The sequence below is a fragment of the Homo sapiens genome, chromosome 10, assembly GCF_000001405.40.
Source record: "Homo sapiens chromosome 10, GRCh38.p14 Primary Assembly".
In the NCBI taxonomy this organism is placed as follows: domain Eukaryota; kingdom Metazoa; phylum Chordata; class Mammalia; order Primates; family Hominidae; genus Homo; species Homo sapiens.
Window position 1 is genome coordinate 11211446 of NC_000010.11, and position 23577 is coordinate 11235022.

Sequence of the window (23577 nt, forward strand, 5' to 3'; positions counted from 1 at the left end):
TGACCTCATATCATTGTCTAGAGTGGTGTCTACATTACCTCCACACTGAAAAATATAAATACGTTATTGCTCTTTGATTCACAGCAAACCGTGATATAAACTGGTTATCTTTATATATCAGTACATTTTTTTTTCCTGTGAGTATTATTACCCAGAGTTTCCAAGTAAAGATTTTCAAGGGAAACAGCTGTGGTTTGAAAAGGTTTGTGATAATCCAGATGGTTTCTTTGAGGATAAATCTACTTGATCATTTAAAATTAAAGTCTTTCAGTACAGTTGAGTGTTTCTTTATGATTTTAAACACACTACTGTGTGTGAGTGAGTGAGAGTGTGTGTGTATGTGTGTGAGAGAGAGAGAGAGAGAGAGAGTGTGTGTGTGTGTGTGTGTGTGTGTGTGTGTGTGTGTGTGTAACTACCATTGGCCTTTGGGGCTTTATCTTTGGAAACAGCAAAAATCTCATACCAGTGTCTCAAATTATCTAACAGTTAAGCAGGCAAAATACCTGAGGGAACTCTTCATGACAGCAGAAACTATTAGTGAAAAAATATAGCGAGACACCAGCTACCCTGTGTGGAGTATGTCACACTCAGCCTCTCTGGGAATTGCCACTCTCCACTTCTGATCCATGATGGCATAATCATAGCTCACAATTATAATACTGATTACAGATTGCTTTCCAAGCTGAACATATGCAACTGTATTGCTAAACTTACCAATTTCAGGGAATCTGGGCGTCAAAAGCATCCACATCCCTGCAGCAGGCCCCTGGGGAGGTAGGCAGGGTGACAGCTGGGAAATGGGGAACCAGGGCTTTCCATACCTGTCTCCTTCTCTCAGTGTCCAGGATCTTCTTGCTGCTTCATGGCTGCCCCGAGATGCTCCCTGTGAGGCCCCCCCGGGCCTGCCTTCACAGACAATGCTCTGTGCCCCTGGACCTTTCTTCTGTGCTTTTTCTGTCTTGTGTTCCTTTCCTAAGGGCCCTGCTAGATGTTGACAGTGAACAGCAGAATCACAGTGATGTGTTAGTGGCCAGTAAGATCTGGTGTATTTCCCCTCTAAGTTACAGAGAATCAGCACAGTCTTTTTGTAGTCAACAGAAGAAGTCATCACTAGTGGGACTGCTAGGCTCTGTATGGACCTAAGACTGTGATATTTGGTTCTGGGCTCACCTCTCCCGAGTTTTCCATTGGACCTGATGGACCTATGAATTTTAAAAGTCCTGGTGAGGAGTCGTGGGAGGTGCTTGTTAAACTGGCACATGAAGAAGGATGGTGTTTTTTTGTGTTTTGGGTTTTTTTTTTTTTTTTTTTTTGCTTCAAGGACCAAAGCTTTTATTATTACAATGAATTGTTGAGGTCGCTGAAACAAGGGATATCCTGAAGTCACCCGGGCATGGAACACCATGTTTGTCTTTTCTAACTAGGCCACTGCCACTGGCAGAAGCTCCTGAATGAGTAGATAAGCAGTGGCATGAATCGTCCCATGCAGGTGCTTATTAGATAGTGTCAAATGAGCAAAGTGGAAATAGGTGAAGCAGCAGAAATTACCAGCATTAAGCAGCAATGGGAGGGTTGAGACCTGCAGAAGCACCTGGTTCATCAGACTGCATCAGCCTGTGCTGATCCCCAGAGCCCCCTGGCCGGTCACCTCTAACATGGAGCGAGGCCTCTCACTCCACTCCATGGACAGTAGGGAAGGTGGGTTTCCCAGAATGAATTCTGAAGCCCAAGGGACTGTCCCCTCTGATGCATGGTGCGACCACTGACCATCAAAGAGCCAGCCCCTGGGTGTTGTAGATGTGTGACTACCCCTTACACCGATGTTGGAAACAGAGCCTGCAGGGGAGGAGGCTTGCCCCTGAATCAGACTGCTGAGCCATCTGGTGCTGCAGCTGACCTGGAGAGGAATCCAGTACATTTCAGACCTGAGTTACAGCTGGCGTGGGGAAATCTAGGAGACAGGTGGTTCCCTTAACAGCTGTATATTTGGTTAGGGCTGACAAGAAAGAAAATTTCATCCTTGTTGAGCCTTCGTGGTTTTTCAGGGATCTGTAGTAGCTCCTTGACCTTTTGCCATAATAATTGTCATTTCAGGGAAAATAATGATATTTCTCTCTTTGTTGAAATATTGTCTGCAGGTGGGTAATCTAATATTTTACAGGAGCATATTAAGTGATAGGTGGATAAAAAGACTATGGTTGTTAACTAGGAGAAACTCATAGAAAGTCTTTCAAACACATTCCAGTATCTGGAAAGGTACACACTACAGTCCTGCTGGGGAAAAACACTAATTGCTGTATCTAAGCTGACTGTTTCAATTTGGAGGTCTGTATTCATCCTGCAAATTTTAATAAAACTTAACCAATCACTGTACTTGTTAAGTGAACCATTATGAATGCTGAACAAAGCATAAGACTTCCTTTAGTCTAATAGAAGTAAAGAATGCTTTTGACCCTTTTTCTTTTTTGGTCCTGAATGAAACACTTTGGCTGCATATCCACCTAGTTTCGTGGGGGGATATTAAGCAGACCTGCTTTTTACTTACTGATGAGACTAGGCCGGGCACAGTAGCTCATGCCTATAGTCTAAGGGCTTTGGGAGGCCGAGGTGGGAGGACCACTTGAGGCCAGGAGTCCAAGACCAGCCTGGGCAACATAGTGGGACCCCTATCTCTACAAAAATGTAAAAAGTAGTCAGGCATGGTAGCACACACCTGTACTCCCAGGTACTCAGGGAAGGGGCAGGAGAACCACTTGAGCCAAGGAGTTCAAGGCTGCAGTGAGCTGTGATCACACCACTGCATTCCAGCCAGGACAACAGAGTGACATCCTGTCTCAAAAATAAATAAATTTTTTAATGATGAAACTAACTAAGGTACTGAGGAGGTAAGATATTTCCCCACGGTAAGTCATTCAGAAACTAAATGTGAAAAACCAAAAGAAGCCTCTGGGGTTAGTATTCCCAGTCTCCTTGTCTGCCCAGGACCCCACATTTGTGTAAGTTGCTAATTGCACAAGGGTATCCTACTGAGGCCGTGAATAGAGTAGAAATCCAGGCTGGGATGGGCTTATCAAGCCATGGACTGTGGCAAGGAGCTACGCCCACCTGGAGATGGGATCCCCTCTTGGAATCGGCACAAAGGCTCCAGGCTTCCCTGCCAAACGCGGCGCCTGTGGAGCTGTGCTGGGGCTCAGCTCTTGGGTCGGACAGATGAACGGTAAGGCACATTAGCAGTGTTACCTACGGTATCCTCCTGCGTGTCACACTGGAACTAGAGCTTCTCTTGGCATGATGTTAAAGAATACCTGTTTAGATGAGTGTACACTTTTAACTGAAACACTTAAGAACTATGCATAGTTGGAAGAGGATCTGTAGTGATAAGTGACTGACTTCACCGTACTAGTTGTAAAGGCAGAGTGGACCTTGGATGAAACTAGAAAGTATTTGAGATCTTGGGGATCTTCCCATCTCCCCTTCTGTATGTTTGAGTCCTTTCTTCCTTCCTTTCTCCTATTCACCTGCCATCCCACCCTGCTTAGATACCAGCTTCAATCTGTCCGTTTCTGAAAAACAAAAACCACCCACCTTCTTTTCACTAAGAACTTTGTTCAAGAGGAAGACCCTTTAAAGTAGCTAAAATCACACTAAGCTGTAATAACTAGCAACAATTAAATGTCTCCTTCCTCAAGGGTCATGTTTTAGTATGTAAATAGCAGAAGGACTACACCTTCCTAGTGGACTCTCAGGCAGCGAGCCATGGCAGGGATTTTGCTTGGGTGTCTGAGGCAGGAGTGCTCCCTTTATCCCTGAGACCACTGTATGTTGGTCAAAGCTCTCCACAGCTGGCTCACACAGAAGTGCACACAATTCACTCCATTTACGTCATCATTGTTCCTTGTCGCTTTTATCTTAGCGTTGTTTAATTCTCTATTTTCATTTTCCCTGTCATACCATTGGTCTTCCAGACCAACCTCAACTCTTCGTTCTTGGCTGTGGCGTGGCCAAACTGGCATCGGTTTTTCATCTCCTGAACTTACTCTTTCGTAATTTCCTTTATTTCAGCCAGTAAATGGCTGCATCCCTAAGTCTTCTTTTTTAAAACATCTCATTCCCAAAAGTTACCTGCCTGAAAGTATCAGATTCTGCTTTTTTTTTTTTTTAACTGTGGTTATTAAATGAGGCGGTAATTCAGAACTTCCCCACTGCTTCCTTATCCAGAAGCTAACGCCATAAGCCCAGGACAGGGAAAGGAGAAGTCACTGAGACTGTGTTTGCTAGAAGCGTTTAGTAAGGCTTGTCCTGTTTTTCTTTGTATACCAAGCCTGATGAGGCATGGTTGGTGTTTTTCTTCTAAAAATGGTTACTGGAAACTGGGATGTTAGTTTCCTTTTGGAAATTATTCCTTGGCATGAAGCAATTCCTATGGCTTTTCTGGGGCTTACATCACGCCACTGAAGCTGAACTCACCAGTGAAGTTGATCGGTTCAGTAAAAAATCTACCATCAAGAAGCAGAGCCAAGTGGATTCTGGTCAAAGAACTCAAAATAGCTGAAATAAGATGCTCGTGAAAATGGTCAGTCTCTTCAGGTTGATTCTTTAAAGAAATGTTATAATGTTCAGTTCCCTTCATTCAAGTGATACATTTGAAGGGTTCCTGATCTTTGGATGCGTGGAGTTTTTCAAATGCCAAGATGCTATGGTCATAGTCTACCTTGTCCAAAAGGCAAAGGTTTTGTATATATTGACTGTCAGTAGACTCTAACTAAATCAAGTGTAAAATGACAAGGTTTCAAATTTCTCTTCCAAACGAGGAAGAATCTTGGATGTCTTTAGAAATCTTGTATGAATGAGATTATACTTTATTTTCCCCCTGAAATGGCAGCACCTCTCAAAGCTCTTCTGGCCCCTGTCTGGCTCCGTGCGTTATGTTCCTTTAATAAAGCCAAAATAAAATACATACAGTCTTGGTGAGTGCATCACTTTACTTTTTTTCCTCAACCACTTACCAAAGACAGCCCAGATCAAAGGTTAGCATCTTTGTTTCTTAAATTTCAAGTTTTTGTCCTACCCTCTTTTCCCAAACTGATTGTGCTGAGAAACTATATTGCTGAACAAATAGCCAATATCTTTATCTACAAGTTGAAGAAGGTGCAAGCCCTCCTCCAGGATGCAGAAGGAATAGTCTAGGATTTCCATACCGTTTTCTTTGGTGGAGGAGGTTGGCTGGAAAAAGGATATATGCTGGCCTGCGCGGAAGGGCCGGGGACTCCCACAGGCTCTTTGGAAAGGAGGAATCAAAATGTTGCCAGTTAGTATGCCACAGCCATATATGTAATGCATGGGCCAGAGTCCACTAACATCTGTTTGGGCATGTACCCATCTGTATTGTAGCTTAATTTCTAAGCCAGTTAAAATACAGTCTTCCGTATTGGCAAATGAGTATTGAGGGTCATATGTACAGAACTTTACATCATGTAATGTGGTGGAGATAAAGAAGAATGCACTATCCCAGCTTTTAAGAAGCTTATAATCCAGTTGTCTGAAGCTTTGAGTTTAGAAAGTCTTTCAAAAACCTGACGTTCTGGAGATACACTTTAAGAAAATTATAATTAATGTAAGCTTGTGCTGTTGTTATTGTGATTAAATGCTTCTCTTCACGTAGGTGCTATAACACAGGTCCCATTCACATCTCACCCATTCCTCCACCACCTCCCACCCTCATTCTTGAATAGCTGTATTCCAGAGAGGTGAGGCACAGAGTCAGGAATTGATCTCCAACGTGGGTAAAGCTAATAAATATGATTTAGGATGAAAAGGTACTGTGTAAATGCTTGAGATGTTGTTATTGCTGTTCTCATATGCTTTATTATTTTTAAATTGTGCGTCCTTTTAAGTAGATTGTTTGTTCGCCACAGTCTCCATTATATCTAAGCAAAGCATTCACAGAAATTTCTAAAACCTTTTCATTTCTCTCTGTAGGTTGTTGTTTCGTAACATTTTATACAAGAAAAGCTGCACTTGAGGCCCAGAATGCACTGCACAATATTAAAACTTTACCTGGGGTGAGTCGGTTTACTTTTGTACCAGAATCACTTTATTGCTTGAAAATGGTCCTTTCAACTGAAGGTTCTAGTTATGGGCTCTTAGTGCCAAAAATGACTTTGGTCTTTTGAGGAGTGTGTGCTGACCCCCCAGTTCCCTGCAGCAGCCACACCAGCTGGCCAGCCCATAAAGGAGCGCTGGCATTAACACTGACGGGAAGCATTCTCAAATAGTGCATCCCCTGGTTAGAAAATCAGAGTGACCCCACTGGGCAGCCACGGCTGCCAAAGAGTATTGGGTGGGCTAAGATTTTAAAAGGAAAAAAAAACCCAACACACACAAGAGAAGCAAATGGAAAAGAAAAAGCTTTTATTCACCAGGAGCTCCTTTTCAAATTTTGTCTTTAGATTTTCTTTTGAAAGGACAAAATGTACCCTTTACAGCCATAATATTAAGCCTCCTAATGGTTTCTAAACAGTCAATGGTGGTTAACAAAGTCAGTGTTTTAATACCCAATTTGTGGCTTCATGTTGATATAGGACAGAAAATACAAAGCTTACAATTTTTTTCTCCGTTTCCTTCCCAGTAATATTTGATAGTTGGCACAATTCACCAGAAATGAACTGATGTTGCATGTAGGAACACCAGAATACAGTTTTTCTAAAGGATTTTGTGGCACTTTTATGTATTTCATGCTATTAATTTCCTGATGCTGTTTGAATGTTTTCCCCATTGACCCAAATATCAGTGATGAGTTCATAATGACATGCATTTGTTATAATGAAGCACCTGTGGTAACCAGTGCAAGGATAATGATTTTATTGAAACCTAGTTTGATAAGAATAAAAGAAAGATAAGGTAATGTCCCTAATGTTTTCAGGGTATAATTCTACCTTTGTGTCTTTTATTTGTCTCTGAACGCATACACAAACACCTCTGTGTATATACACATTCACACATGCACACATAACCATTGAACCACCACAGGCCCCCAGAAAAGATAGCATTTGTATGATTCATCCTAGACTCGTTCACAATACAAGATCGTAGTGGCAAAAAGCTCAGCAAAAGATTTTCACAACATGAGGTTCTTCATCACCCAAAAGTCATAAATTAAGAACCTTGATTTTGAATCATACTACTTTGGTATTCCCCTTTGTATGCGAGGAAATCAAAGAATAGAAGGTTCGAAGAAGCAAGTGTGTGGTCCCACAATGGTCCTGCCCAGTTTCACTGCTTCTCTCTGAAACTGCTAAGGTGGTTCTTAGTAAAGCTGTTTTTATTGAGTCTAAGTGCTTCACTCAGTGACTTTAAAAAAATTGTATTATTTTATCTGCATTCTTCATGTAAATGGACTTTTTTTTAACACAGATTCTAGGAGATTGCAGTGTTGGGTCACATTGTGGAATGAACAAGCCAAGGCAAATATTTACTGACTCAGCCAATAATAGATGAAAATCATTTTTATTTCCCAGGCTCCTAATCAAACCCAAAGACCACTTTGTATTTCTTCTTTTAAAAACAAATGCTTTCTAGTAATGAGCATGCCGAATCCCTTCTAGGTGTGTTTTTTAAAATTACTTGAGACAGTGAACTGTTGTTAATTTAGCATTTAAGGTATAGTGTAGTTTGATGCCAAGTCACATCATATTTTAAGTGAATGCAGAGCTTGGTGAATATGTATTTATCCCTCTACTAGAAACACAGCTCCCAGCATGCGATCTTCATAGTCGAGGGTGCTCTCAAGAAACCCAGAGTGAATATGATGAATGGGGCATGTTGAAATGCATGAAAGCGACTTATGAGTATGCTTCTGTTTGGGATTCTTACACTGACTCTTAGAAAACAACATGTTTTATATTTTTTAAATATTGTACGTGTGTTACTTCTTTTCTTCCTAAAAATCCTGCATGTAGAATTCAGGGGAGGTGATGTTACAGACCCACTGTCAAGGACAATAATTTGGGAGCTGGAAAAGTTGGTCGGTGGATTATTTTTGGTTTTCTCCTTATCTAGTTTCATATGCCCAATTACTTGAGGCAGGTTGAAGGAATTTGAAAAGTCAGATCTGATTTGTAAGGCTGATAGCCTTTCCAGTGCACACACTTGCTACATTTGCTATTCCAAATATGGTAAATGAGGAGAGAGTTTCACATCTTGCATTTATGTACAGCTTCGTCCAGTACACATTACCCTTAACAGCTATAGGAAAAACATGAAAGTGTTTTCCTTTTAGCTGTGTGAGTCTTTGGTGGACAGAAAGAAATGGGACCAGACATAAAAGATTAATGCATATTCTTGGAAGAAAAAATATTACAGGGTGCCTTGCGGTTTGATTACAAGCCTTGAAATTAGTCAACATTTCCATAATTCTAAACCAATATACACCTGTTTTCCCACTGTGATGTGAAGGCACAACTTAATTTAACAGAGACCCTGCTGTGCTAAATCTCTCATTAAATACCAAGTGAGTTCGGTAATTTAAAGTTGTACACTACTATTTTAACTGGTTGCCTTCATATTATGAAATTAATAAGAAATTAATGATGCACTTTGCCATATGCCTTCAATTTCTTTCTGAATAAAACTAAAAGTGATAAAGAAAAAATACATCACCAGCTGACACTTTAAAGCTTTTCTGGTTGTAATCATTTTCCTGTGGATAAAATCCATTAAAAAGTCACTTGCTGCCTTTTTTCTAAAGTGTCCAAAACTTTCGATTTAAAACAAGATCAAATAATGCTAGGGTTTTTTCCGATGTAATTTTCTTTTGCAGTTGATGTTTTGTTTCATAAGGAACTTTTATTATGCGGCCAAGCTTGATTGATGTTTGGAGTTTGCTTTCCTCTGTATGCGCCATCTTTCTTTCTTGAGGGACACAAAGAACTTGGTTAGTTAGGAAGCAGAAACAAGTTGATAGGATGGTCTGTTGTGCAATCAAATGTGTCTGCCATAAGATTTTGATTTAAAGGCACCCTCCTTTACATGTCAGGAATGAATTTTAGAAACCCTTTACATGGGGCTGGAGAAACGACTCCCAGATTGAGGTGACAGATCAGGGCTCTTACGGAGCAGTGCAAAATCATTGAAGACACGTTTCTCAAACTTGCCTCTTACTGGGTAACCAAAGAAGACGCTCTGTTTTACATCCCCTGAAATTCTCAACATAAACCCTAGAAATACAATGGCAGTCATAAAGGAAGCAAATTCAACAGCTCAACACAGAGCAAGGGATGAGAGTCTGGGAGTCCTTCCCTTGGTTTGATCACACATCTCCTCTAGAAGTGGTTGCTGGATGCTCCAGCAACAGAAGAAATTTTAGGTACAGTGCCTCATTAGTTACTGACATTTCATGAGATTAATCCCAAATGATCATGGAGTGCCTACAGTGTGCCTAGCTCTAAGCTAGGTATTGGCAGGAAGTAGCAGGGATCGAGCCCAAGGGGGCCTCTAGCTAATCTAGCTGGAAGGGTGGACAGTAGACAGGTAGTTAATACTTACATGGTTCGTGCTTTCACGCTTTTCTGCTGCAGAATACCCATTCCACCACACACACACATCCTTGAGATGCCTAGTAAGTAGAGCCTTTGTAGCCTGAAGATAACACTGTGAGTGTATCTGCACAGGCTGGGCTACCTGAGAAGCTGTTGGATTTGGTGCCTTGTTAGGCTGACTTTTCCTACTGCTGGGCCATTTATGGTTTTGGACTAATTTTGGTTGCACCTGCTTTGATGATATGTCAATTTGGGGTTAAAGATAGCATCCCTTCTTGAGGGTTTTATCTAGGCACAACCTAACTGGTAGTTTGTTCAGTAGAAATGTCATTATCTACCATTGTGTTTCCCAGAGGGACATCTTTGTCAAGGCAACTTGCAAGATTTTCATTTTGTTTTTTATTGAGCTAATTTAGCTCAATTAAAAAATAAAGTAAAATAGAGACTTACCTGAGGCCCAGAAAAACTACCAAGATCTTTTCAATAATCAGATGTCAGGGCCAAATATCCTTGTGCCGGTGTCAGCACCGTGCTGGGTGTCATTCTCTTTCCAAGGTCTTAACACATATTGTCTCTGGTAATAAGGCTTTTGGATTGAAATCCACAGCAGTATCATTAGAGCATTCACTGTATAAATTAATTTAATTAAGGATGTAATAACAGAGAGGAATACAGTTTTGAGAAACCTCTTAAATTTTAACAGCAAGGAGGAAGCTGCGGAATCTAAATGTCTTGTAAAATATTAATTGCAAATTTCTTCCAGACATCTTCTCTGAATATGCCTTACCCATTTCTTTTTAGAATCACCACCAGTTTTATTAAATGCAGTTTATATTAAGGAGTTATTGCCCTAAGAGAACATTTGTTTAGAGTGCTCCATTTTAGCAGCAGCATGCCAAAAGATGTTTTACAATAACCCATGCAAGGTGAGCGAGGACTGCCAGAGATCTGGGGTAGAAAAACAAATGAGCCTGATCCAATCGGAGGAGGCAGGAAGGGAAATGGCCTCCTGGGACAAGTGTGTTCACCCAGGTGGAGTGAATGGGCCCCTTCCTGGCCTGCCCTGGAAGAGATAATGGACCAGTGTGGGTAGGCACCTTCCTCCCAAGCAGGCTTCACTCTGCTCGCCATGGAGTTGGCCTCTGTGTTCTTTCCTAGTGGAGTGCTGCAGTTTCTCTCTTCAGCAAAAAAGCTTGACTCTCACTGGGGCCAAATTTCATTTGCCCATTTTAATGCATTTGGAGGTGTTCATTTTCTTTGAACCACCTCTCCTACTTAGTGATAGGTATTAATGCCTTTGTTCTCAGAGCCACGATTATCATCATTTTATCATTGTCATCATCATTATTATTTTTGCCATAAAATCTCTCAAACCTCATCTCACTGTGTCAGAGAAATTTCTCCTGAAACCATCCCATTGGAATCAAAGCCTAACTGGGCCAAGTTAGAGTATTTTTTTCTCACATGCCTTTGGTTTAAAATTATCATGGAAAACAACCGAAACATCTGTATGAACAGGTTTGAGTCCTCGAAGTCTTGTGCCATGCGGGGCACACAAAGCGCTGATGCATTTCTTTATTCGGCAACCATGTATTGAACGTTTATTGTTTGCCAGGCACTGTTCTAGATACCAGGGAATACTGTAGTAGCAGCCATGCCCTTTATAACCAAATCACCAAACCACAAAGCCTGCCACTATGCTTACACGTGGTATGTGTTTAGTAAGTAGCTCTTACATAGTGAATGCCCGAATAAGTTAGTTTTTATAATGAAATATTTCCAAAGGCCTACAGTTTTATTTTCTAAAAAAAGATAATTATGCCTAAAAATATTTCAAATGTTCCAAAATATAAAATGAATGTAGATACGTTATCACATGTATGTGTGTTTAGTGATACAAATTGTTTCATAGACACAGATCTATATATGTGTATGTCTATATGCCCATAAACATACCTTCCACACGTACACCTGTGGATGTCAGTCCAAATAAATGGAGGAAGATGAAAGTTAAAGTCCTCCCCGTTCTCTGTGCAGCCTGCTGGCTTAGTCTCAATTACTTTGTAGCGAACTTTCTTATTTGAGGCTTCACCAACGATCTCAGTTCCTTGGTGTAATTATAATTCTTTGTTTATGGGTGCTTTGAGTCCGGATCATGGCAGATTCATGGTGCGTGTTAGAGAGGGTGCTTGAGAAATGGCCGTGCGATGATGGTGAGCTCTGCTTCCCAGCATCCTCACAGTCAGGCCTGAGCGGGGCACTGCCTGAGGAGCTTCCTGAGCCATGAGGAAACATGCCTCAAAAGGCACTGTGTCTGCCTCCTCATTTGTGTAGGTGTGAACTCTCCTTGTGGAGCACCCCAGCATACAAACGTGTGGAACATACACGTATTCCACACATGTATTCTGCTGCGGAATGTGTCAGTCAGGACATCCATTTGGTGCAGATGCTTCAGATGTACATTTGCAGAATTTGGCCTGGGCTGAGAAATTCGCCCTCATGGGACTGCCTAGGAGGAGCCATTTCCCTGCCATCTGTGTTTTCAGATAATACTCAAATCTCATACAAATAAAAGCCAAACAAACAAAATAAGGACTTTGTTTCTCTTGGAGATGACTTTTTAAGGACTGTGACAGAGAGTAGCAGGGGGAGCTCCGGAGGAGTCCTTGAGGGTGCAGAAGCTCCCTTCCCCCTGCAGGAGTCACAGCAGTATGAAAGGGGTAGGGGCAGAGTGTAGACCCAGCCCCAAGTCGGGCTCAGCCAGGTGCAACAGGATGGCTCCCAGCTGAGCGGTATAGATCCAGGAGAGGATATCGGAGGATGGAAGGAAATCCTGGGCCCAGTGAGTTCCATTCTGCAGGCCCAGGCCCCAGGGCAATGGGAAAGTATATTTTAATGCTTAATAAAAGGCCATTACAAATTGTCTATTTCACCCGCCATAAAGTTTTACACACTACCTGAATAGCAGGTTGTTTTGGTTTTGGCTGGCAGTCTGTTGATTCAGTAATGTTGATGGGCAGTTATTTACGTACGGCTTTGATTAAAATAAAAAACTAGTTATTTTTAAAGCATGGCCTACTCGGTATAAGGAATTGTACGAGAGAAAATGTATGAGGATTCTTCAGTGGTGCAAAGTTGAAAATGCCAGCACAGGATTACAGTAGGGAATAGCCACACCACTTTTGGCCTCAGAACCCAGTGGAAGGCAATGTTTAGTTTTGCAAACAACGTAGTCTCAGCTATATCCCTAATTAATAGGACTGTTGCCAGGGCTTGTGTGAGAAAGTATGTTAACGCGCTGGTACTGGTGCCTGATCAGATTTGCAAAAGTGCCTTGTGTCATTGCTTGAGGGATACTGGTATCTCATTAGTATCTTGTGAGGGGATGGTAGGATGGTACAATGGCAAAATGAAGCCATAGTTAGATTTCAGAGATAATCATTTCTCTACGACAGCCCAAGATTAAACTGGGAATATGCAGTTCACTTACGTCGACCTTAGTTCCCAAAAGGTTGATAGGATTTCAAAAGAAGATTGTGGGGGAGGCGGGGGATCCATGAATTTGATTAAAGGTCTGCATGGAATTACAGAGGAAGGAGGTGAGCCATGATAATCAAATGATGAAAGGAGAAGTTTGATATACACCTAGAAAATTGTCCAAATTCTGTCATTAGCGTATAGGGTTTCCATGAGAACTCATCTCTGAGAATATCATATCTGGCTGGACAGATCTTTAATCTTTGACATCAGCTGAGCGTAACTCAGGAGATGATGTCCAGGTGAAGTGCGCTCGTGAGTTCGGAGCCTGGAGCTTTAGGCCACACAAAAAGCATACAGCATGGGTAGATGTGGAGAGAGTTCTCCCAGGAACACCAAGGTTCTTCCCCCACACACTAGGAAATAGGGAATGGCTGAGCTGGGGAGAGCCAAGGCCAGGATCAGAGGGAGTCAGGGCTCTGCCGGATATGGTCTGGTTTGTGCAGGGAAGCGCGCTGGACACTTACAGGAGGGCGGTGTGGGGAGGGAAAGAAGTTTCGTCTGTCCCTCTGCTCGTTTCAACCATAAATGGTCATAGCATACAGGTGCCTGGGAAGTCTCATTAGTAGTATGACATAAGCTGTTGAAGTTGGTTTGATAATGAAGGAATATTTCAGGCCCGTACCCTCACCACTCTCACTGCCCACCAGCCGCAGAGATGAAAGAATAAACAGTAAACGGTGCGTGTGGAGATCGCAGAAAGGGACACTGTGACAAAGGCTCTCTTTCATGGTCCTCATTGTCCCTGCCTGTCATTACTTCCCATTAACACTCAAAACACACATTTGTGCTGCCATCCCCTCCTCCTCCAGCCTTAAAAACGCTTGCAATGCCCTCTGTACTTGATCTGCAAAACAAAAATGGTTGGACTGAGTGGCCCTTTCCAATCTTGCAAAACTCTTCTTTGCTGTCCATGCATTGTCTGTGGTCATGTCCTATTTAACGAAAATCTCTACACTGTGACTTAACTTGGTTCTGTGATGGGTTAGTCATTTTAGAGTACTTCACGTAGACAAACGTGGATTATTCAAGCTTTGACTATACCCTTTGAGATTGTCTGGGCATCTGCTTTCCTCTCTGGTTGAGAACCAACAGGGAGCTTAGTACTCATAATTTTTCCACCGGGAAATGGAGAAAAGAAAGGGCAAGGGGATGGACTCGAACGAGTCAGTTTATTTCCTTGTGTACAGCCCTGGTTTGACAAGAAAGGGTATTTAACCTAATGAGGTTTCAGGATTTTTGGTGGATTTTTTTATCTATTTGATTCCTGTCCTCAGCTAACATGGGTAAGTGACTCCTCTGTGTTTGTAAATGGCTTTATAGAGTTGTTTATTTGTTATCCCTTCTAAAAATATTTCAGGTGATGTATCGATAGCATTCACCTTGTTACACTGAGGACATCTCTGAAGTGCCAGAGATTAAATTAACTTCTCTGACCTCCCTAAGCAAAGCAGTGATGGAACTGGAATTAGAAGTCGTCATTTCTAGGACTGCCCAGTTGGGTTGGCCTCGTGGTGGTGGATTTAGGTGTCATGCTCACTGCATTGTAGGGTGGAATGGGCGTGGCTTAAGAGGCCAGCACAGCACAACGGGAACAGTCACCGTGAAGGAAGTAGCTCCTCTTTATGGGTTGCCATGGGGAGGCTCCATGGCTGTAGTTTAATTTTCACAACTCCACAGGACATCTGTTGTATACCCTGTTTTACTGACAAGGAAGCTGAAACTCAAAGAAGATGAGTAACTTGTTTGGGGTTAAACAGCTGGCACCTGACTTTACAGGCAGTTGGGTAGAACCAGTATGTCTGGACTCTAAGCCAAGGAACTTTCCATTCTGCTGTGTGTTGGTGCAGGCTTGCCGGTCCCGGCAAGTGGTCCTGGCAGGTGGAGGGCCTCAGAAGGACCACATTTGCCCCTTTGGCACTGTCACAAGGTAAATCTAAATCCTCAGTCCTGCCCCACTCCTGCAGCTCGTCATAGATGTGGAACAGCAGGACCATGACAGTTCTGGCTGTGTCAGATGGCATGGACCTGCTGACAGGGTGCAGCAGCATGAACCTAGAAGTCAGCTGGGCAGGCAGTGGCCACACACACACACACACACACACACACACACACACACACACACGAGCTGGCCCTGCCACAGCAGGGGCATCGGGGCACCTGGCAGCGGCTGTGCCCAAGGTGGGAAGCCATGTTCCCTTGCACAGGTCCTGAAAAACATTCAGCGAGCGAGGCAAGGTATTTGCTAGAGACTTTTGGGTGTGAAGTTACTAACACGGAGCTTTCTAAGAGGAAGTGATAGATCAAAGACAGTCATCACTGTAAGAGGTACTGCTTTGCGAAAGTGATTATAAATGCACCATCTTTCTTCAGCAGCATCATCGCATTGACATTCATGTTATTAGGGTGCATTTCTTTATCTGCATCCACAGGCTTTCAGTCCCAATCCACAATCTGCATTTTAATGCCCAGCTCCGTCCAACTGTCCTCGCCATTGCTCTGCTTCCGTGTTCCACAGACAGGGGAAGGGCAAGTATGGAGGCTCACCCTGGAAGAGTGAGCAGGACTCTGTTACCTGCAACCCCAAGCTTTAGGCAGCAGGACAAGAGGCCGAGGTTGTGAAACAAACGGAAACCTCAACCTGCCTGCCATCATCACACCCTCCTGCCCTGAAAACTCCTGGAGGCCTTTAGAAAGGAACTGTTCTACCCTGTTGTTTTACTAATGAGGAAGTGATGGTCCAAGCAGTCAAGTCTGCATAACCATCTAAGCTTCTGAATCTGCTGCTGCCGACAAGGGACCAGACTCACCACCACAAACCAGGGCACTGAGAGGTAGAACCAGGCAGCCCACGCCACAGATGGCACAGCAGGATGAACACGGCCCCATGAGACAGCGCTGCTGCTCTCCGCATCACAGCAAAGTCAAGGCAAAGGAGGATGGGTGCCAGGGGTGCCTCTGCATGAAGTGCTGGAAGCTTGGACATTCCTAGGCCAGTTAGGATCAAAGGCTGAGCACTGGCTGCGATATTAGGGCCAGTTCTGGGTTGGCTCTGTCTAGCCATCACATTGTGGTTTTTGCTGTTATCTGCTGTTAGATTCGGCCGGAATCTAAGGGATAGAGATGTATCATGAGGTGGAAGCTCAGGCTACCTCTATCTTAGTTACAACAGTCAGAGCTCATGATGTCATGGTGGCCTCTGGCAGCTTGGGTTAGACCAGGTGGTTATTTGCCACCTGTAGGCTGGCACTTTCTACAACACTGTCACGCATCAGGGACGAGGGTACCGAGTGAGAGCAAAGGATAGGCTCCTGCAAACTCATCTCCTCTCCTGGAGGCTTAACTGAGTGACTGTGGGTCGCTGGGTGTATTTTAATCTGTGACATTCCACACTTTGTGTACTCACCAGCACATACACGGTATTATTGTTTCCTCAGAAGAGTGTGTATTTAAATACCTGCCAGGAAACTGTGCAGGTATTTCACATTAAGTAGCATATGGGGCTCAGTGTAGTCAAGAAGTCACAGGGATTAGGAAAGAGAAAATGAATTGCTGTCATTCTATATATGTTATATGCTTAGTAAATGTCAGAACAGTAGTCACAGAACCTCAGGATGTTTCTAGCATATTTTGGCTTATAAATGTTTTGTCTACATAATGGATATCTATCAGTAGCTTTCAGAATTCAAGTAATTTTAATGAAATAACACTAAATGTTCAAGTATTAAAAGTAGTGGTAACAGTTAACAGCTATTGAGTGTTTACTATGTCCTCAGAACTATGCCAAGAACTTTATATATACTTGATCTCACATAAAAAACAAATAAGGTAGTAATTTGTCTTCCTTACCTGTTTGCCTTTTCAACTAGAAGCCTATTGTTCTACATTCAAGAAAGTGAAAGTGGCTACACCTCTTAGAGAACATTTCTTTAATGATACATCAGTGAGTATCTTTTATGGGTAATAATCTACCTATTTTAACTAGATACAAGTATGATAAGAAAGAGACCTTTCAGTTAACTGAAGCTAAGCTCATCCTGTCTTCCTTACATTGCTAATATCTGACTTACAATTTACTAATATTTGTAAGGTGTCATTTAAGTAGGTGTGGAAGCATTAGCCTAGATTTTGACTAGTTCTTTGGTGTCTTCTGCAGCTCATAGAGGCACTATAATCACAACCCCCACCCGCGCCCCTCGCAAAAAAAAAAAAAAAAAAAAAAAAAAACTTGGAACCACCATTTTATCATTTGAGAATCTCAGTCACTGAGTTAACCTGAATCACTCCTAAGGCAGAGTTACCAAGATTTTAAAAACTCTGCAGGTCACTGACAAAAACTAAGTATCATCAGTAAGGAAAATACTTAAGAGAGAATCAAAAGCCCAGGAAATCCTGTAGCTGATTTCAGTCGGTTCTGGTTTCTTTGAATGTTATGTGGGTCAACAGAGGAAGAAAGGACCTGTGCAGGAAAGTAGGCCGGATGGAATTATAGATCACAGACCCTAGAAGCACGTCCTGTCCAAGCTCCTCACTTGATAGATGAGGAAGCTGGAGCCCAGGAAGGTGGGAGGACAGGTGAGATGCTGAAGGTCACACCAGTCAGTGCTGGGGTGAGTACAGATCACATCTCCTAACTCCGAGCCTGTTGCTCTTTTCAGCAAACCATGCCCCCGTGATTTCTCTGCAAGGTTATGCCAAGCATGTCACCTTAAAGAATCAGAAATCCAGAATCCAAATTTCCAGTCTGTGTGTAGCATTTCATTCCATGACTTGAGGCTGTTGAACTTGGTGTTTTCTTTTTCTCATTTCCATTCTCTGGGAAAGACCCAGAAACCTAATAAGATTCTTCCTGGCCATCTACCCAAAATGATATGTGCAGTAGATGAACTTATAAAGAACCGATGAAGACAAAGGAAAGCGGTCCTTTGTACTTCAGTCCATTTGCATATAAAACCGGGGCAGTGATTCTCAGCCTCAGCTGCACAGGAATAGAATCCCTCGGGAGCTTTTAAAACTGTGTATGCCCAGGCCACACCACAGCCAAATAAGACTCACTTGGGATGAGAGTCTGGCATCAGTATTTTTTTTTTTTTTTTGAGACAGTCTCGCTCTGTTGGCTGGAGTGCAGTGGCGCAATCTTGGCTCACTGCAACCTCCACCTCCCAGGTTCACATGATTCTCCTGCCTCAGCCTCCCAAGTAGCTGGGATTATAGGCATGTGCCACCACATCCAGCTAAGTTTTATATTTTTAGCAGAGACAGGGTTTTGCCATGTTAGCCAGGCTAGTCTTGAACTCCTAACCTCAAGTGATCCACCCACCTCAGCCTCTCAAAGAGCTGGGATTACAGGCCTGAGCCACCATGCCCAGCCTAGTATTTTTACAGCTTCCCAAATGATTCCAGTGTGCAGGCAAGTTTTAGAACTTCTGTTAAGAGAATGAACCAATGTTGACCCCAAGGGCTAGGTGGTGGTGACATAACTTGTTTTCATCTTCCGCTTTCATCTGGATGTACAGGCACTGACTCTGACCTGCTCATCATCTTCCCACAGGTACACTGGAGTCTTGGTACTCAAGCAGCAGTCACGTCATCTGAGAAAGTGTTAGAAGTGCAGCCTTGCAGGCCCTCCCCCAGGACCTGCATTTGAACTAGATCCCTGGGTCTTACACGTTCACACAGAAATAATCATGTGAGGTGACAGATACGTTAACTAGCTTGATTGTGATCATCATTTCACAGTGCGTCTGTGTGTCAGAACATCACTCTGAAAAAATTAATTTTTTTTTTAATTGAAAATACTGAATCCTGGGTGACATGGATACATAGCAAAGTTTGAGAAGTGCTGTTCTGTAGAACCGGTCCTCTCCGATGCTCTTTCCCTGGGAGTCCCTCACAGGGTGCACTGTAGGGCAACCCCGTTTGTGTGTGCACACACACTTCTCGCAAGTGCTGGGTTGCTGTGTTCCCTCATCTGAGTACCAAAGTCAAGAGAGATCCTCTGGAGAGGCTGCCACCCTCCCTGTTTCCTTCCAGACATTCTGAAGGTGGGGTGGAGTAGGGCAGCCTGACTATGGAGGACAGGAGGTGAGAAAGTAAATGGAGATGTGAGGACATGCTGGTTTTTCCAGCATCCTTGAATGAGCAACTGGGTTTTTCCCTCCCAACCATCCTCTAAATTGTGGGAAATCTCTGAGTGGGACTTACATAGAATTAATGTGTGTCAGACTGTAAGGGGATGAATGGAAATGCTGCTATTTTAAGCACAGTTTTTCTGGCCAGAACAAGCTAATTCTAAAGCATGAGGAACAATTTTCTGCCACAAAGAGTTAATCTGTAATACTCAGCAGCTCATTTCCACCTTGCAGAAAGCATCGGAGTGTAGAGTCCTGCTGTTTCATCATTCACGGACTCGAAATTCGTTACCAGGAAAGCAAAGCATTTATTACCCTGTGTCTCTTGCTATCCGCAGCTTGAGAGACTTTTGCTGACAAAGAAAATGTAACTACCACATGAATGCTAGAGTGGAATATACTATTGCCTGATGAGGGATGCTGGGTCTATGTATGTTTTTGCAATTTGGGAGGCTTAAAAAGAATGTCATCTGCCCTGAACAGTGTAAGATTTCCCCTTGAGTGAGTTCTGAGTTCTTGTTTTTCATTCTTCCTTCTTGTGAATCTGGAGAAGTTTTTCACATTGTGGGTTATTCCTAATTATTGTAGCTACAACAAACATCCTGGATTGTAGTCTGTAAGGACAAAATCATTTGTTGCTGCATAAAACCTGAACTTAACCATGGTCAGCGTTTGCCTAAATCAGCAGCTGCTGCTTATTAGACCAGCATCAAAGAGTGAGCTGCAGTTGGGCGACCAAATAAGAAACAAAGTGATTAGAAGATCCTTGTGGAACAGGAAGCAGAGTGGGGCAAGACAAGAGAGAGCATATACCCAGGGGAGGAGACAAGCTAGGGTATCATATCTGCTTGATGGGGTGTCAGCCCTGAGCAGAGAAGGGGATCCGGAAGGAGTATGTGGGCTGGAAGATAAAAAGGACCAGGGTTCCTGCAGAACTTACAGAAGCACACACATTGTGTCCATTTTGCTCATTGCAACCAAATGATTAACTCTTCAGAAAAAAAAAAATCCTGTTTACTTAGTTTGTATATGGTTGCTTTCTTTTTTTTTTTTTTTTCCCAAAAAGGCAAGAAACGTTTAGTCTTTGATAGAGGAGACAGCTTTCCAAACAACGGGACTCAATAAAGACAGCATGAGGTCAACTGAACCTGATCCTGTCTCTTCTCTTTCCCCTCTCTTCTCTCCATTTTACCTGCAGTGCACTCAAAGGCAAAAAAATAAAAAATAAAAAAATAAATTAAAATCTTTCATCATCTCAATATTACATAAAAATTGTGTTCAAAAGAGAAAATCAAATTTTACCTTTGCATTCATGTATTATTAGTGTTAAGTACCACCGCCCCATCTTTTTTTTTATTATACTTTAAGTTTTAGGGTACATGTGCACAACGTGCAGGTTTGTTACTTATGTATACATGTGCCATGTTGGTGTGCTGCACCCATTAACTCGTCAGTTAACATTAGGTATATCTCCTAATGCTATCCCTCCCCTCTCCCCCCACCCCACAACAGGCCCCGGTGTGTGATGTTCCCCTTCCTGTGTCCATGTGTTCTCATTGTTCAGTTCCCACCTATGAGTGCTGTCTTTCATTCTCACATTCCTGTACTCATTTCTGTTGTTTCAGTATCTGATTAGAGCTGAATTAATGTAGTCGGGGCTAAAAAATAGCTTCTATCTCTCAGTGACACATTTTTGGAGACTCATAAGCCTCATTGTTTTCTCATCAGTGACAACTTTGTCTCTGAGTCAGATGACTCGAGTCTCCTTCACCCGTGATCTTGGGGGGAAAAAATAGAAGTGAGTAACTCACACAGCCACAGGACCAAGTGATCACAATCACAGCATCCACTCATTAGTGGAAATGAGCTCTGGACTCAGTCCAGTTGACGAATGGTAAAATCTATGGCTCGGAAAGAAGGGAAAGAGCAGTGCTGAAGATGTTTGAGTTCTTGGGGTGATCTTTGTAGCTCCTCCTGAGATGTGCCTTGATGATGTTGCCTTGATGATGTTGCATGGTACTGATTTCAAGGACACACCACGCTATATTTTTACATAATCTGCTTCAGAGGAGTTAGCCCACATTCATGGATAGGAGATGGCCCACATTCATGGATAGGAGATAGCCCACATTCATGGATGGGAGAAGAAAAATGGCAGAGCATGCTGCATATGTGGCGGGACTGTCATGAGGCTGTCAGAGTCAATTGTGCCAGGTTCCCAATTCCCAGAGCAGCATCCCGGAGTCTTGTTTAGTCATGATCTTCAGCCTCTTGACAGCATTTGGTTAGCAGACACTATAGCTTGGACTCCTTGGATGTGTTCATAGGCATTTTATCTTGACTCTGTTCTCTAAACATGGCACACTCTGTAAGTTTCATTGTAATGTGGCTATTAAACATGTCCACTGTACATTAAGATTTACTGGGAAAGAAAACCTACCTAGAATTCAGTAAAATTCTAACTAATGAAAGAGTAAATACACCAGCTGTTCAGGCCCAACACTGATTTTTAAAAGGGCAGATTGGGCCTGGGCTACAGCTCAGAATGTTGAAGAGGCTGGATTGGAGCAGAGCTGAGGGAAAAAGAGAAAAAGACACCTTACGCCATGGGCTTTCACACACGCAGGAGAAACAAACGCTGTCTCCTAAGTTACAGGAACTTGGGTGTACTTTTTCAGAGACTGCAAGTAAAGGGTGTGATCAAATGCTGCCCTTTAAACACTGACATGCCCCGAGTTCTGTTTTCACTGCTTTCTTCTCACGCCGCGTGATTTCTTTAGGTCCCAGTGATCCCAGGCTTCCGCTACCTCTACAGGCTGCTGCCAGCCAAATGTTTATCTGAAAATCGGGCTTCTCTGCTAAACCCCAGACTTAGATACCCAGTATCTGCTATTGAACAGATCCATTCAAATGGTCTACAGGAAATTCCAGTACTAAAATTACTATTAACCAGGTCTTCCTCCTGTATTGCCCATCTTAAGTGAATTGGTGGGTCAGCCAAAGCCAAACGCAAGAAATGGTCTTCCTCATCTCCTCTTCCTACATACACTTCACCTTTCTAACCCCCAACCTCCAACAGTGAAGATACCGGGATGCTACCTTAATGGCACCTCTAGAATTGCTCCGTCTTTATCAAGTTGGGACTCACCAGTTGTCATTAGGGGTAATAAAGGCACAGCAAGGGTGAGGGGATTTGGGAGGTTATCCCTGTAATCCCCATGCTTCCTAGTATTCTAGATGCTCTCTAGAATGGGAGAGGTGGGTGTGCCAGAGTTGTACATCACCCCCTACACCCACAGGCATATGTGAACATTGCTGCATCTTGTATCAGAAAAATCAGATGTGACTGCTGAGTTTGAAGGGTGAGATCCACGCTCTATACTGTGCCCCTACCTTTTTCTTCAGCTTCTGGGACATTTTTGCTCATGTGCTGTGTCCCAGCTGTATGATACGAGACACACATTTGGTGTCTTATCCTGGGAAGGTAGAGGTGAACATTGCTTCATTGTAATTTACTGTGTCACATGGTTCAATTTATCCTGTCACCTGCTGTTCTTCATTCCCCTCCATGGCTGAGGTCTCAGCTGCTCCTGTTCTGAGCTCCAAACTCCTTGAGAGGGAACATTGTCAGAGCCCGGCTTAACACCTCACACCATAGATAGTGCTCAACAAATGTTTGTTGAATAGATGAACTCTGAAGAACAGCTTTTATTCATAGACACTCTTTCAACATAAAAAAAATTCAAGTTCTGGCTGGGCGCGGTGGCTCACGCCTATAATCCCAGGACTTTGGGAGGCCGAGGCGGGTGGATCACGAGGTCAGGAGACGGAGACCATCCTAGCTAACACGGTGAAACCCCATCTCTACTAAAAATACAAAAAATTAGCCAGATGAGGTGGCGGGCACCTGTAGTCCCAGCTAATCGGGAGGTTGAGGCAGGAGAATGGCGTGAACCCGGGGGGCGGAGCCTGCAGTGAGCCGAGATCGCGCCACTGCACTCCAGCCTGGGTGACAGTGAGACTCCATCTCAAAAAAAAAAAAAAAAAAAAAATTCAAGTTCTTTACAAACTGGTGGGTGGGGGTGAGAGGAGGCAGGGAGATCTTGATCCCCTCATCCCCATCGCAATCCTTTCCATCAGGTAGATCCGCCCTCCACAGACAACAAACGCAGTAGAGACAGGAAGCCCTGCAGAGTTAAAAAGGCACTTTTTACTCTAATTATAATCCTTAACTGAATGAAGAAGAGGGTTGACAATCCCTACGTCACTTTACATTTTACTGTGTACTTTCATATATATTTTCTTATTCAGTCCTCACAATGATGCAGTGAGTTTTCTGGTACAATCCCTGCTTCAAACATGAGTTTACCAAG

At 43.1% G+C, this 23577-nt stretch overlaps 1 protein-coding gene across 69 annotated transcripts in view, besides 2 other annotated features; it reads left to right on the top strand.

Annotated features, from left to right (window-relative positions):
- CELF2 (CUGBP Elav-like family member 2) overlaps positions 1–23577 on the top strand; it is an 874126-nt gene that overhangs the window by 748896 nt on the left and 101653 nt on the right. For 65 of the 69 annotated variants that reach the window (XM_047424494.1, NM_001326323.2, NM_001326320.2 and 62 more), the window contains 1 exon segment: positions 5980–6062. The exons of the other annotated variants lie outside the window; for them this stretch is intronic. In XM_047424494.1, the coding sequence (XP_047280450.1) occupies positions 5980–6062 (83 nt within the window). 69 annotated transcript variants of the gene reach the window in all.
- Positions 1629–1728: an enhancer, noted in NCBI's record as "active region_3000". NCBI's record gives its function as "activates an Ori minimal core promoter by ATAC-STARR-seq in GM12878 lymphoblastoid cells {active_cell/tissue: GM12878}" and the evidence as "EXISTENCE:reporter gene assay evidence [ECO:0000049][PMID:35858748]".
- Positions 15868–15957: an enhancer, noted in NCBI's record as "active region_3001". NCBI's record gives its function as "activates an Ori minimal core promoter by ATAC-STARR-seq in GM12878 lymphoblastoid cells {active_cell/tissue: GM12878}" and the evidence as "EXISTENCE:reporter gene assay evidence [ECO:0000049][PMID:35858748]".